This window comes from Homo sapiens, chromosome 10, assembly GCF_000001405.40.
Source record: "Homo sapiens chromosome 10, GRCh38.p14 Primary Assembly".
Classification (NCBI taxonomy): Eukaryota; Metazoa; Chordata; class Mammalia; order Primates; family Hominidae; genus Homo; species Homo sapiens.
In genome coordinates, this window is record NC_000010.11 from 112,689,309 (window position 1) to 112,711,434 (window position 22,126).

At 40.7% G+C, this 22,126-nt stretch overlaps 1 protein-coding gene across 8 annotated transcripts in view, besides 1 other annotated feature; it reads left to right on the forward strand.

Moving 5' to 3' along the window:
- The window catches only part of VTI1A (vesicle transport through interaction with t-SNAREs 1A), a 408,381-nt gene that overhangs the window by 242,321 nt on the left and 143,934 nt on the right, over nt 1–22,126 (forward strand). The gene's annotated exons all lie outside the window — the stretch shown is intronic.
- Nucleotides 20,562–20,856: a silencer, noted in NCBI's record as "tiled region #921; HepG2 Repressive non-DNase unmatched - State 23:Low". NCBI's record gives its function as "represses a minimal TATA promoter and a strong SV40 promoter by Sharpr-MPRA in HepG2 cells {active_cell/tissue: HepG2}" and the evidence as "EXISTENCE:reporter gene assay evidence [ECO:0000049][PMID:27701403]".

The window sequence follows — 22,126 nt, forward strand, 5'->3', positions numbered from 1 at the left end:
ATGTCATCAGTAACAGTCATGTGCACCTACCTGGTCATGTGTTAACCAAGTGTAATGTGTCTCCACCTTGCACAAAGCACTGAGGGGCAGCCTCTGCATTCTGGAGGTCAGGAGGAGGGCCTGAGGGAAGGGTGGTTTTGGAGCTGACTCCAGGAGACATGGGTGGGGTGCCCTGGTAGGAGGTGCTGGACAGCCAGGGGGCAGCATGGGAGCATTTTGTATGTGATGAAGGAGGACAGAGAATTGGAAGAGGGGGATAAACGAAAACGTCACCGTTCTTCCTGAGCCCAGCCCTGGGGAGGATGATGGATGACTTTTTGTCATCTTTTGTATTTCCTCGGGGCAGCTAAAGCAGAATCTCTCCACTGAGACCAGAGGTTGAAAACTGGAAGTCTGTGGGCCACAAGTGGCCTACAGATTTTTTTACTTTTGCTCTGCACAGTTTTTTTTTTAATTATTATTTACATACAACAAAATTCACCCATTTTAACTGTAGAGTTGGATGTTTGTTGGTATGCATATGCAGCTGTGTTGCCTTGCTCCACCACCACACATCAAGATATAGAACAGTTCCCTCACTCCAGAAGTTTCCTCCTACCCCTTTGCATTCAAATCTCTTTCCCCACCCTGCCACAGAGAGCCACTGATCTGCTTCCTGACATTAGAGTTTTGCCTTTTCTAAAATTTCATGTAAATGGAATTATACAGTGTGTCATCTTTTGTATATGACTTCTTTCATTTGCATAGAGCTTTTGAAATTAATCCATGTAGTTGCATATGTCAGTATTTCATTCCTTTTAATTGCTGAGTAATATTCCAGAGTGGGGGTATACTACAATTTATCTATTCACCAGTAGATGAATGTGTAAGTTGCTTCCAGTTTGGGGCTATTTTAAATAACGCTGCTGTGAATATTTGTGTATATATCTTTTTGCAGACATAGGTTTTCGTTTCTCTTGGTAAATACTTAGGAGTAGGATTGATGGGTCATATGGTAAGTATATGTTTAATTTTATAAGAACCTATCCGATTGTTCCCAAAGACACTGAACCATTTTGCAGTCCCATAAACATGGATGAGAGTTCCGGTTGCTCTCCATCATTGCTCTTAAAGCATCCAAACACTCAGAACCCATTAAAGGGCCACATGGCCTCCAGCTCACCCCAGTTCCTATTTGACCTATTTTCCTCATTTACATTACCCACCTGTAACCTGTAGGTTTGTGACCTGTGCCATTGAGCAACTTTATGCTCCATAGCATATAGCAGGGTGTGACAGTTAAGAGCAGGGTCTATGGAGATTCTCGGTTGGAATCTCCATCTTGCCATTTATAAGCTGTCACTTTGGACTTCTCTCTGAATTCGCTTCTTCATCGGTAAAATGCTAAAAACACCTTATTTATTAGCTGGCTAGTTGTAAAAATGAAAAATATAGAGCATGTGAAGCATCCATCACAGGACTGGGCCTGTAGAAAATGTACAATAGATGGTACCTGTTAGTATCCATGCAATAGCCCCATGATTGTCTATTATATGTGTGTGCATCAGAGTCACCTGCACAGATTCTTTTTAAAACATAGGTCCTGCCCTAGCCATAGGTGCCCCTGCCCCAGCCCTCCTTCAGAATGAGAACTTCCCAGGCTGGGCCTGTGCATATGCATTGTTTTAAAGTCCCATAGTTCGATCAAAGTGGTTCACACCTGTAATTCCAGCATTTTGGGAGGCCAAGGCAGGCGGATCATTTGAGGCCAGGAATTCAAGAACAGGCTGGCGAAACCCCGTCTCTACTAAAAATACAAAAAAATTAGCCAGGCATGGTGGTGTGTGCCTGTGCTCCCAGCTGCTTGGGAGGCTGAGGTGAGAGAGTCTCTTGAACACAGGAGGTGTAGGTTGCAGTGAGCCAAGACCATGCCACTGCACTCCAGCCTGGGCAACAGAATGAGACTCTGCCTCAAAAATAAATAAATAAATAAATAAATAAATAAATAAATAAATAAATGAAAGTTCCACAGATAATTGGTATGAGCATCCTTGGCCTACAACTGTTGGATGGGAAGATGTAGCAAGGAACCCTACATTCTAAACTCAGTTCTACTGCCAACTAGCTATGTGACTTTGGACAAATCACTTAATCTCTCTGAGAGAGCTAGTTTAGTTGAGATATGACTGTAGCAAATTTGGTCTTTCACAATGATTAGGTTCTTCTTGGTGGACAGTAGCTACATTTCGAGGCAGAGGAATTGGAGGTGGTTGAGGGCTATGCCTGTATCACAAGTGATATATCCAAATGAAAGCAAATCTCAGCCTGGATTCAGGCATACATAGAAATGTGAGTTAGCAGGCATGCACAAAACCATCACTCAGCATGTCCAATAGGCCCAATGAAGTCCTGTCCTCTTTCCTGATGGGAGGGTACATTGACAGCAACTTGCATGGAAGGTTCACTTGAGGCAGATGTGAGACTATGCAGCAATGGGAGTTGGCTAACCTTCTAGTCAAAGTGACATGGTAAAATCCTCCCTTGAATGGATGGATTCAGACCAAAATCTGAATTCAAGGACACCATTCAGGGAGACTCAATTGGGATCACTGCATTCTGATAACCTTTCCATGCATGCTGTGGAAGTGCAAGTGACACTATTTCAAGCCAGTCCACATATCTTCAATACTGTTTCTAATGTCTTAATAATTATTAGTTATGCTAATTAAGAGTAATTAATTAATAAGATAAAGATAGCTGCCACACATGTATGAGCTGCCTCTGGAATGTGGCTTTTCATTAGTCTTTTAAATGTTACTAAACACCTCTGAAATGTATATTCCCATTAGCCCACTTCAGTTACAAACTCACCACCCTAGAGTGTAGATTAAAATAACTAATGCACATATATGTCTCCCTATCTGTGCAGAAATGCTTTAAAGTTAATTACAGACGGTATAACAGTTGATTTCTGGGGTTCCATCCAAACTTAAGATTCTACAATTCTACAAATGAAGGGTCCTAGTAAATGTACTTGTTTCTCCTCATTCTTCTGTCTGCTCTTTCTGGAAGCCTCTGAATTCCCCAGGCCATGTCAGTGTCTTTCCCCTCCCTGCACCTTCATGGAAGCACACACTTCTTTCATGGCATCTTACTTCAGGCCCAGAAACATGCACTGAGGATTCCAGCCTTTGTAAAATGGCATCTCTTTTGATTTACCCACACTGACCTACCTTATTTCCCAGATGTCAATGATTTGAGTAGTACCATCACTGTTTTTATTGTGGGGAGGTGGGGAGGGCATACCTACCTGCCTAACACCTATATTATTTTTCCTTTAAATTGGCACAATTTCTTCTTCTTTAGCTTTATCGCACAGAGTATTGCCCATGGTTTTAATGTGCTAGCTATGCATTTTTTCACACGTTAAAATAGATGCATAACTAAATACCTGAAATAAAATGTTAAAAGTAAGTAATCATCTGCGTGTTGCCTAAAATCAGCTCTCGTTTCTCCAGTGGTCTGCACACATCACAGTGGGAACCACTGCTGCACTGGCCTTGGCGGGTTCCTTGCCCATCTCCCCACCAGACAGTGAGTCCCTGGAGGACAGGGACGAGCTTTCATCTCTGCCTCACCGTGTCAGTAAATCTGGTGCCTTGTGCATAATATGCATTCAATAAATGTTTGATGAATGAATGTCTCTCTCACGAGCACAAGTGAAATACCACAGCAAACACAAATATCTGCTATTTTCTCTCACTTTGATTCCCAACCTCTGATAAACTCTTAAGCACTCAAACATAGAATCAAAACATAAATAAGTACCAAACATGTGTAAGTGAAGTGCAGCCCATTTTTCTACCTCTTAAAACTTTTTTCTTAAGTAACTGTTATTTATTTAGTTCCCCTAATGTTAAGGGGAAAGAAGTTAAATGATTTAAATTTGTAAATAATTCTTTAAAAATAACTTAACTGGCGGGGCGTGATGGCTCATGTCTGTAATCCCAGCACTTTGGGAGCCCGAGGCAGGCAGGTTGCCTGAGGTCAGTAGTTCGAGACCAGCCTGGCCAGCATGGTGAAACCCCATCTCTACTAAAAATACAAAAATTAGCCAGGCGTGGTGGTGGGCACCTGTAATCCCAGTTACTGGGGAGGCTGAGGCAGGAGAATCTCTTGAACCCAGGAGGCGGAGATTGCAGTGATCTGAGATTGCACCATTGCATTCCAGTCTGGACAACAATATTGAAACTCTGTCTAAAAAATAAATAAATAAGTAAATAAAAATAAAAATAGCTTATCTGACACAAGGCTCAAGGCACCTTCACCATGTAAAATGTAAAGATCTTGAAGAACTCTAACTTCCGAGTTGAAAATGGTGCTTGAACAAAAGCAGTGATCAAATTATTGTCTCAGTTTCCCAGAGGAAGCACAAAAGGTAAATTAAAAGGCCCTAGTTGCTCTTTCTGAGTGCTGACTGACCCAAGATAAATATGCACTTGGAGAAATAAAAGGCACTTCTGGCCCAAGAGCCTGTACACATTCAGAGTCTCCACGGGATCACTGTGCCCTCAGTCTTTGTCCCACTGTAGAACAAGGCATTCCTGATCCAAAACTTAAAATATTTTATCTGTTTTAATGCGAGGCTCGGTGGCTCACCCCTGTAATCCCAGCACTTTGGAAGGCCAAGGTGGGCGGATCACAAGGTCAGGAGTTCGAGACCAGCCTGGCCAATATGGTGAAACCCTGTCTCTACTAAAAATACAAAAATTAGCCAGCTTGGTGGCGCGTGCCTGTAATCCCAGCTACTCGGGAGGCTGAGGCAGAAGAATCGCTTGAACCCAGGAGGCGGAGCTTGCAGTGAGCTGAGATCGCGCCACTGCACTCCAGCCTGGGCGACAGAGTGATACTCCATCTCAAAAAATATATATTTTTTATCTGTTTTAATCTGGACTGCCCTTCCCATCTCCCTCTCCACCCCAGAAGCCTTAAAGCTGCTTGAGGGCAAGGGACTGAAGCTTATTTTGCTAGTACCTTGCTAGTTCCTGGAACAGAATGGACACTCAGGAAGTATTTGGATGGATGGATGGATGGATGGGTGGATGGATGGATGGATGGACGGACGGACAGACTTAATGAATAAAAGAACAGACGAGCTGTGACACTAATTTACATGAAGCTTGCTGACTTACCTTTCTGCATTTTAGTTAAAGATCTGGAAGGAAACATTTAGGAGAGAACTCTAATGTCTGGAAGCATGCCTCTGAATGGCAGAGTTAGTCTCTTTATTTGGGGTGATTTTTTACTTCTAACCTCCTTTAAACAAAGTTTGACGATTCAGTCTCAAAAAAAAAAAAATCTTTTTCAATCTGAGTTGGTCTCAGAAAGCATATGTTCCAGCTGGGCACGGTGGATCAAGCCTTGTAATCCCAGCACTTTGGGAGGCGGAGGCGGGCAGATCACCTGAAGTCAGGAGTTCGAGACTAGCCTGGCCAACATAGTGAAACCCCGTCTCTACTAAAAATACAAAAATTAGCCAGGCATGGTGGCAGGCATCTGTAATCCCAGCTACTCAGGAGGCTGAGGCAGGAGAATCACTTGAACCTGGGGGGCAAAGGTTGCAATAAGCTGAGATCACACCACTTCACTCCAGCCCGGGTGACAGAGTGAGACTCTGTCTCCTAAATAAATAAATAAATAAATAGCAAATGTTCCAAAGTAAACCAGTTGACTGAAAGGTATAAATTCATCTTCCATTTGTTGGATGCCCTTTAAATTATGTGGGAAATGGAACACATGAAATTTTTTTTGAGCTTTGTCTTTCTATTAATTTCCAAAAGTGAAAAGTTCAAGTTTAGAGAAACATTTATCTTACCATAGTACCTACCTTGAACTTTGCTGCATAGTATATACTGTTTTTATTTCTGATCGAAGCATTTGCATTTAATTACTTAAAGCATTTAAAAAGTTCAATATTTCTAATTTGAGGGTTAATTCTACTAGCATTAGTAAGAAACATTGGGTATAAGGAAAAGGGCATATGTATTTACATAAATAAAAAGCATCTAATTAAGCCTTCAAATGACATTTTTTTTTAAGGGTAAGGTATAAAGATTAAAAAAAAAGGCTTGGTTTATTTGCATTGATTTTGCTTTTTCCCATAATTGCTGAGGTTATTATGTTCATAAAAAGGGAAGCAGTGCTAATAACTTCAGGAGGCAATTGCTCAGTGTCAGCCTGGGACATTGTGACTGTTCTCTAGCTTACTTTAAATACACATATTTGCTTTTGCAAATATGGCGCCAGTTGATTATGGATAGTTCCTTCTTACACTGGAATCTCTGGGAGGCTCATTCCAGGAAAGGTACAAAGCTCAAGGCAGTGGAAATGCACGTTGCAGATGCACTGCGTGCCCAGTGGACAAGCACTGTCCTCAGCTTGCCCACACCCAAGCAGCCCTGGAGTGGACACACCCAGGGCTGTGAAATCAAGAAAACTTACACCTTCAGGAGGCTTTTTACGCCACACGTGACCCATCCACTGAGGTTCATGATGGTTACTTCAGACAGAAAGCAGAGGAGGTTAAAATTATGTTTCTAATCATTTTTCCCGTCCTCTGAAAAGTTAGATGAAACGTGTAAGTTGTTATGTAAGATTTGCTAAGCACCTTATTACTCTACAGAACATTGTACAAAGTGCACTAGGCAGAAATTTTTTACAAAAAGAGCTTTCCTTTACAATGCCTCCAATGTATTTTGTTTACTGAGTAGGCCATCTCTATAGAAAAATGTAATTAGAGAGAATGATTATATATATATATATATATATGCACGTGAGCACATCCAGGGAAATTCAGAAGTTTATCTCAAGGACTGTATCTCCATCAGAGCTACTTATCTTATTCTATTTTCTATAAAGTGGAATGTGTTTGCATGCTTGTTTGACTTAAGACTAGGAGCCTTCAGTGAAATTGACCTGACTAACAGTTCTAGCTGGTTCTGAGGACTCAGAAAGCACACTCTCTTCTTTATAGATTTTCTCCTAACCAGTGAAATTTACAGAATGTTTTATAATTTTGGTAGCATAAGTCTTAATTCCTGAGGCTGGTTTGCATGCATTTCAAGACCAACCTAAGTAAAATTGTTTCAGATTTCAGGATGTGTTTACTATTGATGGAATATAGATTGTCTACATTCTATATCCATTTTTGCTCTGTTACAAAGTAAAATGTCTTAATATTGAAGAAACGTGGGATTGCTAAAATGAATTCTCTCATCGGGCTATTTGTTTTGGTCAAAATAAAACTATTAAACATAAACTAAGAAAACCTATGAGCAACTTTCCTCTATTATTTCCTTGGTCAGATTCTGTTTTCTTTGTTTTCTTAATTTGGGCTGAGTCTTCGAGAAGAAAAAATAATCACCATCACTTTGTCAGTGTGCACTCTGGAATTTGTTTAAGCAAAGAGTCAGGTCACAGCAGCCAGAAACCATGCTTTTTCTGCTGAGGGATTGTATTTCCTTGAGTATGTACTGAGCTGCGTGAAGAAATCATTAAGTGACACAAGTGAACAGGAAAAGAGAAGTATTCAAAAATTCTATGACCTCTGCTACAAAGGTGGCTGGCAGAAAACACTAGCTTTAATTGTGTGTTTTCCTCTTGCCAGTTTTTATTCAATAAAGCATTCCATGATCTTGAAGCAAAAGGTGATTGGGAAGGCAATATTTTTTTTCTAATGATGTATCAGTTTTTCTTTATTCAGAATAATCAGAAATATTTTCCTAGGTATAGTCAAATAGTACTTATACATAAATTATTCTGTTAAGCAGAAAAAGGCGTATTAATTAGTACTGTGTGAGAAGTGGAATTGAAACACAAACTTGCAGATCTTTTGCTTTTCTTCTGTTCTTTTTTTTTTTTTTTCCAGACAGGGTCTTGCTCTGTTACCCAGGCTGGAGTGCAATGGCGCTGTCTCGGCACTCTGCAACCTCCGCCTCCCGGGTTCAAGTGATTGTCTTGCCTCAGCCTCCCAAGTAGCTGGGACTATAGGTGCATGCCTCCACACCTGGCTAATTCTGTTCTTGGTATTTTCTTTTCTTTTCTTTTCTTTTCTTTTTTTTTTTTTTTTTGAGAGAGTGTTTAGCTCTTGTTGCCCAGGCAGTACAATGGCGCTATCTCAGCTCACTGCAACTTCTGCCTCCCAGGTTCAAGCAATTCTCCTGCCTCAGCCTCCTGAGTAGCTGGGATTACAGGCATGCACCATCATGCCCAGCTAATTTTGTATTTTTAGTAGAGACAGGGTTTCTCCATGTTGGTCAGGCTGATATCGAACTCCTGACCTCAGGTGATCCGCCCACCTCAGCCTCCCAAAGTGCTGAGATTACAGGAGTGAGCCACCGCGCCCAGCCTTGTTCTTGGTATTTTTAAAAAGAATATGTAATTATATCCATTACCAGCAGAGAAATGAATGGGTTTAAATAGCTTTACTGGTTTATTTTGTTGATAGCTTTGTTCCATAACAAGAAGATAAAATAGAAAATAGCTGCCTGAAATTTTGTTTCTCTGTATTAGCATTTACATGTGTGTGTGTGTGTGTGTGTGTGTGTGTGTGTGTGTGTGTATTCTTTTCTTCACCCTGTAGAAAAGCATTAATAGCACATTCTGGGTTTTGTCTACTTTTATTCTTTTTTAAGTGACATCCAGGGTTGTGTATTTATATTTTAAACTAAGCAAATCTATTTGCTTTGGAATGGAAGCCTACAGCAGCAATGTGATTCATAATGTAACATAAGCTAAAATATTCAGCAAATAGTGTCAGATATACCTTAAAGCCAGCCTCTATCACATGTTGCTATCAATAAGAACTCTAGGAATCCCTGTTCTTAGTGCAGTGATATGTATATTTTAAAATTGAAAACAGAAAGCCAAATCCTAGCTGTGGGAAAGGAACCCTGAGTCTGTGGGCTATGCGGCTTCTCAGACCTTGAGACTTGGGTAATATGTCACTGCATCTTCCGAACACTGCATATTGTCTCACTGTGTATTCAGTGTGGTTTGCCCCTCATTTCTCACTGTTGCCTCCCTACATATGGAGTGTACCCCAGTTTTTGCTTACACTAGCAGAAGAGCACTATGTCTTTTGGAAACTATAGACGTAAATCCTTAGTGATGAAACCAAGACAGGAAAAAAGAATTCTAGCTTCAGTTTTTTTAAGTTTAATAATTTATTGTGTTAAGTTAGGACAACACAGAGCTATTGCTTAGCAACACTGGATTAGGGAGAAAATAATTTAAGCCCCCAAATGAGAAACACTTGTAATCGAATCTGCTCTAACACTTGCTTTACCACATGGCTTAACACCCTTCTGCTCACACATGGTTAAACACGTGTTTGAACTGATGTTTTAACACCCGTCTCGCACATCTTTATGCCCTTTGTTCACATATGCTGGAACACATGCTTTGCCACCCTTTGTGCACTCATTGTTGAACACAGGCAGAGTATTGTCTAGAGTCTGACTTTCCAGAGGTTCGTTGGTGAGTAGCATTCCATCTAAGATTGGTGCCTAATAAAGTCACAGCTCCTTCTGCCAGATGATGTCCACACTTGTGTTCCTTCAGTCCACCAGAGAAGAAAATCCTCGCGGAGATGACCACAGCTGTGGTCCTCCGTAGCTACCACACCCCTGAGTAGTGGCCTGTTCAAGTGTTCCAGCAGATGGGTGTGTCGTGTCACAAAGTATTATTTTCCACCCCAGCCAATTCATTTGTATTTTCCCAAACTGCCAAGCTCTAAAGTCTTAACTCATGACCAGATGTAGAGTTGAAATGATTTCATATTCTCTTTCATCTTACTTGGTAATTTCAGCATAGATGGCAGTTACCATCACTTTAGGCAAGCTAACTACCTCCTCCTCACTCTACCTAGACCTGTCATTGGTGGTATCTTAGCTCAGGCTGCTATAACAGAATTCCACAGACGGTGTGGCTTAAGCAAGGGACATTTGTTTCTCACAGTTCTGGAGGTTGGGAAATTTAAGATCAAGGTGCTGGCAGATCTGCTGTCTGGTAAGGACCCATTTCCTGGTTTATAGATGGTTGTCTGCTCATTGTATCCTCACATGGAGGAGAGCTGAGAAAAATAGTAGTTCTTAATTCAAGTTAGAATTCAATGGTGATATTAACCTAAATTTAAACTATGGTTTATAGTTTATAAAATGTGTTTTAGCCATCTTTTTGGATCCTTGTCAGAACACTGGGAGGAGCCGGGCATGGTGGCTCACGCCTATAATCCCAGCACTTTGGGAGGCCAAGACGGGTGGATCATGAGGTCAGGAGATCAAGACCGTCCTGGCCAACATGGTGAAACCCCGTCTCTACTAAAAATACAAAAATTAGCTGGGTGTGGTGGCACATGCCTGCAATCCCAGCTACTCAGGAGGCTGAGGCAGAATCGCTTGAACCCAGGAGGCGGAGGTTGCAGTAAGCTGAGATCGCGCCATTGCACTCCAGCCTGGGCAATAGAGCAAAACTCCGTCTCAAAAAAAAAAAGACTGGGCATGGTGGCTCACACCTGTAATCCCAGCACTTTGGGAGGCCAAGGCGGGTGGATCACGAGGTCAGGAGTTCAAGACCAGCCTGGCCAAGATGGTGAAATCCTGTCTCTATTAAAAATACAAAAATTAGCCGGGTATGGTGGCGGGCACCTGTAATCCCAGCCACTCGAGAGGCTGAGGCAGAGAATTGCTTGAACCCAGGAGGCAGAGGTTGCAGTGAGCCAAGATCGTGCTACTGCACTCCAGCCTGGGTAACAGAGCGAGACTCCATCTCAAAAAAAAAAAAAAAAAACAAAACAAAAAAAAAAAAACACTCGGAGGTAAAACATTATCCCCATCTTACAGATAGACATGCTAAGACCCAGATATCTTAAGAACTCTGCCAAAAATTACATAGCTAGTAGGTAGTGAGATTGGATGTTACTGGTCCCTTGATACCTAAATCAGTGTTTTTCCTGCTATGTCACAAGGGTAAGTACTGTAAGCTGTACAAGAAAGTCCAGAAATAGCCCTTCCCATCAAAGAGCTTATTGAAAAGCAAAGATACTTACAAATGAAAAATAACTCCAATCTATTGAGCATGAACTATGAGCTAGTTCTCTACTAGGCACTTTCTAATCAATCATCTTTCTTGATCTTCACAACAACTCATTTGACAGGTGAGGAAACTAAGGCCTCAAATGCATAATAAACATACTCTGCATCAAAGAACTCATAAGTATCAGAGCTAGAATTTGAATGCAAGCCCAATTCTGAATAAAACCCATACCTTTAGCCAAATTGCTCATATTGGCTTCCAAACAACAATAATAAATGAGTTCATAGACAAACCATAGCTATTGTATAAGTCAAGTTTGGATGAAGTATATTCTTCCCCTAATCATTCCTGGTTATGGTACTTTGTGATTGATTTTTTAAAAATGTTTAACATTATGAAGTGGATAAATATAACAAGAAGTAAAAGTTACAGATATTATATGAAAGCATTTGTAAATTAAGTCCAAGTTTCATCTGTTCCACCACTTTGGTTAAATGCAAGGCCATAAAATGTGCTACCCTGGCTAAATCTTCATGGAAATTTGATTTTACAGGTAACTTGTGCTCACGATTATCAGAAGAGAGGAATCATTTCTCTTCTGTGGGTTTTAGGTTGCAAAGAGAGTTAATGGATGCTAAATTAAATTATTTGAAAATAAGTTGTATCTCATTGACTGGACCCTAAAGGGTCATTTTTGAGCAAACTATATAATGAGGGATACCCTTGAGTTTGGTGAGTCTGAATGGCATTTTTCATAATTGTATGTTAATAACTCCAGCTATTTTTGTAGCTGGCTTTAAAGATAATTTAAAGGTGACTGAAATCCTTGAACTAACTTTCCATGTTAAATTGGTTTGGACCCAGATGCAGAAACCAACAACTAGACCATTTAAACACAGAACAAGATCAGCCAGGAATAGCAACACTTGGATGCCTGACTTGTGGATGTAAGCAGGAATTAGCGATTACTTCGAATGGCTGGAAGATCCCAGAGGGAAATTTAGGGGGGCTCTTCATTCTGTTTTGTCCTGAAAACAGAATTGCTCATACAAATATCTGGCAACATCCAAACACAGGTGCAGATTTGGAATGTATAAAGCCTCGTGTTGGTTTCTTTGTATTTTCACTGCATTTCCCTATGTTGAGGCTCAAGATCAAATGATTGTATTTTAATGTAGTATTTGCCAAATTTCCAAACCTCTAAGCACGAAATCCTCAGCCTTCATTTCTTCATTTGCTTGGAAATCTAGGTAGCACTGAGCCAAAAGCAGAAGTTATGAAGTGAGATTATACTTGATTAGGAACAAAAAAAGTCCTACATTCAGAAATGCAGATGTGCACAGCAGTCCTAGGGGAATGTTGGTATTTGATCTCTGAGTCTTAAAGGTTCATGTTCCCAAGGTTAAGAAATGCAGAGAGCCAACTTTTATTAGTAACTAATGCTGAAATTACTCTGGAGATTCTAGAAGTATTACATTACAAATCACTCAGCTTTAGAAATCCTACATCTAGTGAGTTACAAATATCACTGTATGAGAGAAAGGGGCAGTAAGTGAAGGGTGTCATTCATAAACTTAATTTCTACTCTTGCAGCATGATCATGGGTATACTGTGTGAGAGTTTTCATTTCAGTGAGAAAGGAAAAGGGAACATACGAAGTCCATGAGTCAGGACCCCAACTGAAAGAAGCAGGAAGCAAAGGCCTCCTTGTGTAGGTGGACTTTGGGTAGGGCTGTGGGGTGCAGCAGTCCAACCTGGGCTGCAATATCTTCCTCCTTTTCTAATACTATCTAACTTCGTGACCTGGGGCAAGTTCCTTATTTATTGAGCAAGCCTTCCATTTTGGTGAAAGCTAAAGCCTGGGTATTCATAAAATGATATCCTTCAACAAACATGGCACCTACAGCCTTCTATGAAAAAGATACAGATAGCAGACATTTCACTTCAAGGGGAGAACCTTAATAGCACCAAATTCAGTATTAAAACCAGGATTCGTTTAAAGCATTACTATGTCACATAGTGCCCTGATTTTTTTGCTTGTTCGTTTGTTTGTTTTCAGACAGAGTCTTGCTCTGCTGCCCAGGCTGGAGTGCAGTGGCACAATCTCGGCTCACTGAAACCTCCACCTCCCAAGTTCAAGTGATTCTTGTGCCTCAGCCTCCCGAGTAGCTGGGATTACAGGCGTGTGCCACCACACCCAGCTAATTTATTTTTTATTTCTTTGAGCCAGAGTCTCACTCTGTCGCCCAGGCTGGAGTGCAGTGGTGTGATCTCGGCTCACTGCCACCTCTGCCTATGGGTTCAAGCAATTCTCATGCCTCAGCCTCTGAAGTAGCTGGGATTACAGGCACATGCCACCACACCTGGCTAATTTTTGTATTTTTGGTAGAGATGGGATTTCACCATATTGGCCAGGCTGGTGTTGAACTCCTAGGCTCAATGGATCCACCCACCTTGGCCTCCCAAAGTGCTGGGATTATAGGTGTGACCCACTGCGCCTGGCTCTGCCCTATTTTTTAACCTCAATAAATTATATTACTTTAGTAGGTACCTGGGTACTCTCTAGTATTAACTAATTGGGCCTCCTTTTTGGCTAGACCATTCTTATTTTAAACTCAGTAGTGATCTGATTTTTTTAATCAATGACTTTAATTCCAACAACAAAGAAAAGGTGGATAAATCTGCCTTGGTTACAGTAATAAGCTGTTAAAGGCAAAATTATACTTTTTATACTTTTCACCAATAATGTCTACTACTAGATGTATTTTTTTTTCATTGTGAGATTGATTTGCCCTTGATATGTATTGATAAGTGTTTTCTTTATAAATGAAATCCATTTAAATCATTACACCTTGGGAAGAGTTTTTAAACTGATCAGAATGCATGATCTTAAAAATATTTCTGGGCCAGGCGCAGTGGCTCACGCCTGTAACCCCAGCACTTTGGGAGGCCAAGGCGGGCGGATCACTTGAGGTCGGGAGTTCAAGACCAGCCTGACCAACATGGAGAAACCCCATCTCTACTAAAAATACAAAATTAGCCAGGCATGGTGGCACATGCTTGTAATCCCAGCTACTTGGGAGGCTGATGCAGGAGAATCGCTTGAACCGGGAGATGAAGGTTGCGGTGAGCCGAGATCATGCCATTGCACTCCAGCCTGGGCAACAAGAGCAAAACTCTGTCTCAAAAAAAAAAATTGCTAAAATTTGGAATATGATGCATTATATATAATTAATCTACAGTATATGATTGTAAATGTATATTTTAAGTAGACAATATAAAGCAAAACATAGGAAAATGAAACATCACATATATATTATTTACATCACACCAATAAATTCATATTCAGGTTGTAACATTTGAACATTTGCTACTTCACTCATCCTCACTCATGTTATTTTTCAGATCTTAGATTTTGATAGATGCACTGTAGAGTGTAGAAATAATCATTATTTAGGTAGCTAAAAAATAGCTTGCCAAAATTAATAATGAAAGTTATTCAAGATGTTCTGTCAAAATCCTTTCCAATTAGTGTTGAGGTCTTGAAGGGCCAAGCTTAGCTTTATATTAATATGTTAGGTTTATTAATGTATTTTTTGATATATGCATAGTGTGACTGTCTAATACATCTCATGATATTGCATAATTATGGTACTTTTAATTTGTTATATCCCAGTCTTTTCTTCGGTCTTATTTAAAATTCAGAATTACTTCATAGTTTCATAACTAATCACTCATTAGGAAGCTGTGCCATGTACTTGAGGTTACCTCTAAGGCAATTCGTATTAACAATAAACCAGAGAAGTTCCTGGCTACTTGACTGTCATTGACCAGTTTAAATATTTAAAGTCATCGTCTGACCCTTTGTCTAACCACTTACAGAAAATGAAATAAAGGTTGTGTACAAAATGGAAGAAAGAGAAGCCCTTTCAAATAGTCTTTTCTAAATGAAGAAAACTAGTTGTGCTGTGAGTAATCAAATTCTTAGATAACAATTATATATATATGACCCCACAGGGACAATATGTTATTTTCAAAATAAAGGGCCTATTTTTCTTTTTCTTTTTGCTTGTTACTTTTCACCAAGACATAGGCATTTTAGTGTGTCATTCTACAGTGGTCAAGTTCAGACTCATTGTTAATCATAATAATGATTATTTTAGATAGCTTTTGACTTTTGTCTTCTCCAAATGATGAGAAATTGAGACTGTTTTTAATGCCTTGCTTTACCCAGATAAGTGAACATGGCTAGAAATTACAGTGTTTCAACCACTTGTTTATTGAGGTGTTTGTTATGTATATTATTTAGATCTTGTCACACTCTCTAATTGGTAGTTGAATGGTGTTAAAATTTGATCAGCATAATGCTGTGGCTATAGTAGTGTGATTTAACTAACATTCAATCTACATGATAAAAATGATGCTAGGTCCAGTAGGGATACAAAGATGATGGTGTTATGGATACCTCTTATGAGGTAATGAGATAATGAGGGTCTATTTTATTTTTAATTTACTTATTTTTCAGAGGCAGGGTCTCGCTCTGTCGACCCAGCCTGGAGTGCAGTGGCACAATCATAGCTCACTGCAGCCTGCAATTCCTGGGCTCAAACAATCCTCCTGCCCCAGCCTCCCAAGTAGTAGGACTACAGGACTGCAGGCACGTGCCACCATGCCCGGCTAAGTTTTTAAGTTTTTTTTTTTTTTTAGAAACAGGATTTTGCCATGTTGTCTGGGCTCGTCTGAACTCCTGGCCTCAAGCAATCCTCCTGCCTCAGACTCCCAAAGTACCTGATTACAGTCATAAGCCACTGTGCCCAGCCCCTCTATTTTAGAATTTGAATTGGTCAGGATTCTTAGATTCAGAGGGTTAGAATCAGTAGCTAACTTAAGCAGAAAGAGATAAGCGCTAGAATAGCTTACAGACTCTTTGGGAAGGCCAGTGAAGCTCTTTTAGATGCTACACAGCCATGAATTTCAGCAACAGAACAGGCAGTCAGACTGTTCTGGGAGGTCTCACTGCCTCACTGTTATCCCACATGGCATCCATGATACTAGCTTCTATACTGACTCCATTATTGCTGCCAGAACTGTCCCAGAAGAACCAAAGGCACGCCCCTCTTCTCCCTCTACCCCTACCCCCGACACACACACATTTCTGGGAAGTGCACCCATCTCGTTCCCTGTGGCTGCCTCACACTGCTCATACCCACTTTCCACGTTTTGCCCAGGCTCCTCCAGAACCTTGGCCACATCCAGAACCTGGTAGCAAGAGACTTTTGGAAATGTCCTTCTTAGCTTTCTCACCTAGCTGTCAAAGAAAGCTGCTAAAGAGCATCAGAATCCGTGTGGACTGAGTCAATGCACAGTACTCCCAGAGATGCATAAAGGAGGGGTTCTCAAATTGTATTCCAAGGAACCTTAACATTTGCCCACCCACCTAAAGGTCACCAAGGAGGAAGAAAAGGCAAAACAAACAAGACTTCATCTAGAGAAGCTAGTTCCGTGTTAATCTGGTCCTCTGTTGGGCATGTCTACGATTGTCATTTGAAAAAAAAAATTCTTTTGTCGTTGTTGTTTTTGTTAAGTTTGAAAACCACTGCTAATCTACAGTTTACATTCATCAATCTTCCATCTTTTGTGTTAGGTGGACTGTCACAAATGTAGCCTAGGATTCCTTTCCGTAGCAAACCTTTTAATAGAACATCATCATTTTCGTAGCCAATATTTGAAAATGACTACAAATCATGTGCCTCTCCCACGTCCTCAGAGAAAGTGCTGCCGACAGCCTCATTCATATTAGGGTTTTTAATGTGAAGTTGCCACCTCCTGAGAACATGTCTTTTAGTTATTTCAAAGCCTTTCCAGCATCTTCTCAGAAAACCTCAGCAGTGGAGGGCAGCCCAGTCATCATAGCCATAGGGATAAAGGGAGTGGACACGTTTAATTACTCTTCAGCTACTTTATTTCATTTGACTTCAAAAACAAAATTAGCAGTAGCAGAAGACAGTGGTTACATGGGGTTAAGTTAATCAATGTGTGCTAATTAAATAACTGTTGTGCCTATGCCATTACTGCCTGTTTCAGATGGTGGAGAGCTCTTAGTCTTACCTACTTCGGTCTCTGTACTCTCAATATTTTGCCATACAGACTAGATTAAAGGGATATAATCTCTAAATTAAGTAGGAAAGAGACAAAGCTATTACCTGCACGCATATTGGTCCTTGTGAAAGGATTGTAGTTGGGAGCTTTTCTCTTACGGTCTCTAGAGCTTCTCCCTCCATAGCACATGTGGCCTTTCCCACTCTGAACCATAACTGCTTTCGACTTACATGCACTCAAGAAACCTGCACTTTTGCTACCAGTGCGCTACTTCTTCGTCTTTCATGTGTTTTCAGGATGCCCTGACCTCACCCCTCCCTGTCACGCAACATCAAAACACAGACCTGCTTTGTCACCCCAGAAACAGACCAGCAGCCCAACAGTTCTTTAAAGCAGCAGCAGGTTTTTTTCATACACTCAACATGTTTATCATGTTGCTCCCACTTGCTTAAATCACCTTCAGAGTATTTAATTTTTGTTTTTTAACACAAAAAAATGTGGTGAGTTTACTGAACTCCTTGTAATTTTAAACAATAAAACCTAAACGTTTAAAAACTATTACTTTCATATTTATTATTGAATATTTTGAAAATTCAGAAAGGGTTAAAGAACAAACTAAAACTCCCTTTAAGCCTCATCCTCCATTGAACCATTGGGGGTTTTTTGTGGCGCGGGGAGGGGTTGTATTTGTTTTTTTGAAACAGGAACTCATTTTGTCACCTAGGCTGGAGTGCTAGAGTACAGTGGCATGATCATGGCTCATTGCAGCCTCAGCCTTCCCGGGGTCAGGTGATCCTCCCATCTCAGCCTCCCAAGTAGCTGGGACTACAGGCATGTGCCACCACACCAGGCTAACTATTTTTTTTTTATTGAAATGAAGTCTCGCTCTATCGCCCAGACTGGAGTACAATGGTGCGATCTTGGCTAACTGCAACCTCCGCCTCCCAGGTTCAAGCAATTCTCCTGCCTCAGCCTCCTGAGTAGCTGGGATTACAGGCACGCGCCCCCATGCCTGGCTAATTTTTGTATTTTTAGTAGAGACAGGGTTTCACCATGTTTGTCAGGCTGGTCTCGAACTCCTGACCTGGTGGTCTGCCCGCCTCTGCCTCCCAAAGTGCTGGGATTACAGGCTTGAGTCACCTTGCCCAGCTATTGAACTATTGTTAATAACTTTGTATATATTCTCCTCCCTTTTATGTATATTTTACATACAAATAATTGAATGTTTTATTGGCATTTAAGTTTTCCAGACCTGTCTCTGATTTGCTCTTACTTTGCATAAAAATTTTAAAGTTATTGTCCTAAATTGGAAGATGATGTATTTTAACATAAAGAGTATTAGACTCTGCCAGAATTATTTATTTGAGATTGACTATGAGCTATAAAAGTCTGTTTGGTTCATGTAATTGCCTTTTAGTTTTTTTGCTACCCTCAGCTGTAAAACATCAAACAAAATTAGCAGCTGCAGTCCTGGTTGCACTTTATTAAACATCTAGCCAATTTTTTCACCCCTGTTCCTGGTGAAGTTTATTTAGGTAAAAGGTTGATAACATTCTTTACCGCCAAAGAAAGCAGGTTCATTTCTGTTAGACAGTTCTATCCTGATAACATTGAAGAAGCTAAACACAAGGACTCATTGCTTCTCACTGGTATCAGTGGGCCTGTCCTTCCACTGTGCTAGCCAGGTGTGTAAAGTATGTAATTTCACATGCAAAATAGAATAATTGTGTGGTATGTGTATACAGCATGTATATTACTGTAGGTTTGTTGAAATACAAAATAATTCTGAAATGTTTGCATTTTGAAAAAGACTTGGCCTCCACCAGGCACTAATGTGCAGTATGCATTGTTTATACATGGGCATATTTATATAAACAGGGTTACAGGTCTGTGTAAAGAAGTTACATTGATTACAAGAGCTAATATAAGCTTGGGAATATTTGTGTTAATACTTCAGTTTTTTTCAAATAAGGTCCCATGTATTTCTTACATAGAAGACTGTTTCCTAAAAGTGGTAAAAAGGAAAACACTCATCTCTAATGTTTTATACTGTGCCAGCTACATATTTGACAAGATTCTTTTAGTTATTCTACTTATTAGAGATATTTGTAAAGGAATGTGTTCTGCATACTAATTAGCATTAAGCAGTATCTTTGACAGAAGCGAGTCACCAGCTATTCTAAGTAAGAACTGAAGAACTTTTGGATGGCATGGAATATTTCAAATATTTCACCATTCAGCAGTCTAGCTCGTGATGATCAAATACACCAATAAATGCTGCTCATATTTCTATAAACATGGAATTATGTTGTACATGCATCCATTTTGTGTAGCCTTTCCCACTTCGCCGTTTGCCGTGAACATTTCTTCTTGACAGTAAATAGTCTCCTAAAAACATGTTTCGTAGTTACACAGTCTGTCTCCTAAAAGCGCAAAGAGCAGTACTTGGTTTCTGGGTGGAAACCCATAGCTGGCATGTTTATGCCACCCCGCGGTTGCTGGTAGTTTCTGAATCTATGGACTTGCTGGCCCTCCAGCGTCTATTGTCAATTTTCTTAGGGATTATCCCGGGAGGGGTACGTGTCCCCTTCCTCACCTCCATCCTGTTCCTGATTAGACCGCCTTCCTCTGGCATATATTCTCCTTCATCTCACTCACCATCCTCCTCCCTGATTAGTCCCGGCCTTCATTTCATTTCAGTCACCATTTCTCCCCAGGAATTGGCTCCCTTTTTTGTGTCCCTTCTTTAAGAGTGTCTGGTTGCTTTGCTGACAAACACCTCAGAAAAGGGACAGAAAGTTGGAGCCCTGTATTTTCACAGATAAAGAGTATACAATGAAGATTTTTGACCTCTAGTTCCCTAAGAGTGTCTGTCTTCAGACAGAACTGCCCCCCTGGTGCTGTGGGCTGGCCTAGGCCTCTGCTGGCCCTCAGCCTTCTCTGCAATGCAGCCTCTACCTTCCTTCCCAGCCACCCTCCCCTCGCTTGACCTGCACCTCAGCCAGCCGGAACTGCTCCCTGCCTACCAGACTTGCCTCTTGCTCTTAATCTTGCTCATGCCATTCCTCCTGCCTGGACATTTACCTTCTCTTCCCCATAAAAATCCTGCCCATCTTTCAGTTCCCTGTCTTCATGCTGCATCCTCAAAGAAAGGAGAGATCACATTTTTCAGATCTCCCCAACAAGAGGCACTCTATGTGGCTTTTTTTTTTTTTTTTTTTTTTTTTTTTGAGATAGTTTTGCTCTGTTGCCCAGGCTGGAATGCAGTGGCGCAGTCTTGGCTCACTGCGACCTCTGCCTCCTGGGTTCAAGCAATTCTTGTGCCTCGGCCTCCCAGGTAGGTGGGACTATAGGCAGGCACCACCAAGCCTGGCTAATTTTTTGTATTTTAGTAGAGACAGAGTTTCACCATGTTGCCCAGGCTGGTCTCGAACTCCTGAGCTCAAGCAATCCACCTGCCTCGGCCTCCCAAAGTGCTCTGTGTTGCTTTGATTGTACTGCTCTTGTTGGACAGATCTAGTATGCCTTAAGTTTCAGCTGTTTCAGTACCTATCTCATTCCCTCTACTATAGGGTTAACTCCTGGAGAACAAGGAATACAGCTCTCATATTTGAATCTGAAAGCACTCAGCACAGTTGCATTCACATGGAAGGTGCTTGGTAAATATTGGCCCATGAGGATTTTTAAACCTCTGATTTGAATCCATTTGTTGTCCTCCAGTTAATGTCTTTTTTTTTTTTTCTCCGAGATGGAGTCTTGCTCTGTCGCCCAGGCTGGAGTGCATTGGCATGCTCTCAGCTCGCTGCAACCTCTGCCTCCTGGGTTCAAATGATTCTCCTGCCTCGGCCTCCCAAGTAGCTGGGATTACAAGCGTGCACCACCACGCTGCCTAACTTTTGTATTTTTAGTAGAAATGGGGTTTTGCCATGTTGGTCAGGCTGGTCTCAAACTCCTAACCTCAAGTGATCCGCCCACCTTGGCCTCCCAAAATGCTAGGATTACAGGTGTGAGCCACCACGCCCGGCTCAGTTAATGTCTCTGAATTGTATTCACTTAGTGCTACTGCAGAATAATTATAGAAATTGCAGAATTGCACGTGGTTTATATAAAAGCATGGAATGACCTAACTTGTTTATATTTTTTAAGCAATGTCCAAAGAGAGGCCACTTCCAAGTTGGGGTTTACTCTGAGCTCATGCTTTGCCTGCTTTTTTTCCCGGGTCAGTAGCATAAGTTACCTAGGAGAGTCTTGAGTTATCTGCCTTAGCTCTGAAGACTCTTCCTCAGCTTTCTCAGTCAGTCTGCATTGTTGTCCATGTGTATCTGTGTGTGTGTGTGTATGTGTGTGTGTGTGTATGAGAACCTTCACTTTTAGAATAATATTACATTCCAAATCAAATTCTGCCTCAAAAGAGCTATTCTTCCACAATTTTCTGCATTTCTGTACAGGTTACAAAATGTCACAATTCAATGGGGCCAATTATTAGATTTTCATTTAATGGGCAGTTTTAATATTCTCAGAGAAGCTGAATAGTAATAACATTTTAAACCACTGCATTCCATTTAAAGACTCACAACCAGTTCTTCTCTCTTTGAGCACACCTAGTTATATTTTTGGGTATCATTTAAATTCAGGCTCCCAATCTGTAGAAAAAATCAATGAGTTAATGAATAGCTTCATTTTGAAAACTTTTAAAATATTTTATCCTAATTATAAGGCATATCTAGTGACATTAATTTGGCGAAATCCCAAATCATCAGATTGTGCAGAATAGCCCTTACCAAGGAGTAATTTAGAGCATTTTCAGTTTAACAAATGTGCTGTTTTTAGGACCAGATCATGGCTTTGCTTACTCTGAGAAAAACTTTCTACTGTTAAGGTTCAGGGGCCATGTCAGTGTAGGTCAAACTTTATGCTTTTTATTCACAGTTGTGTTTGTTTAGCATGTTTTATT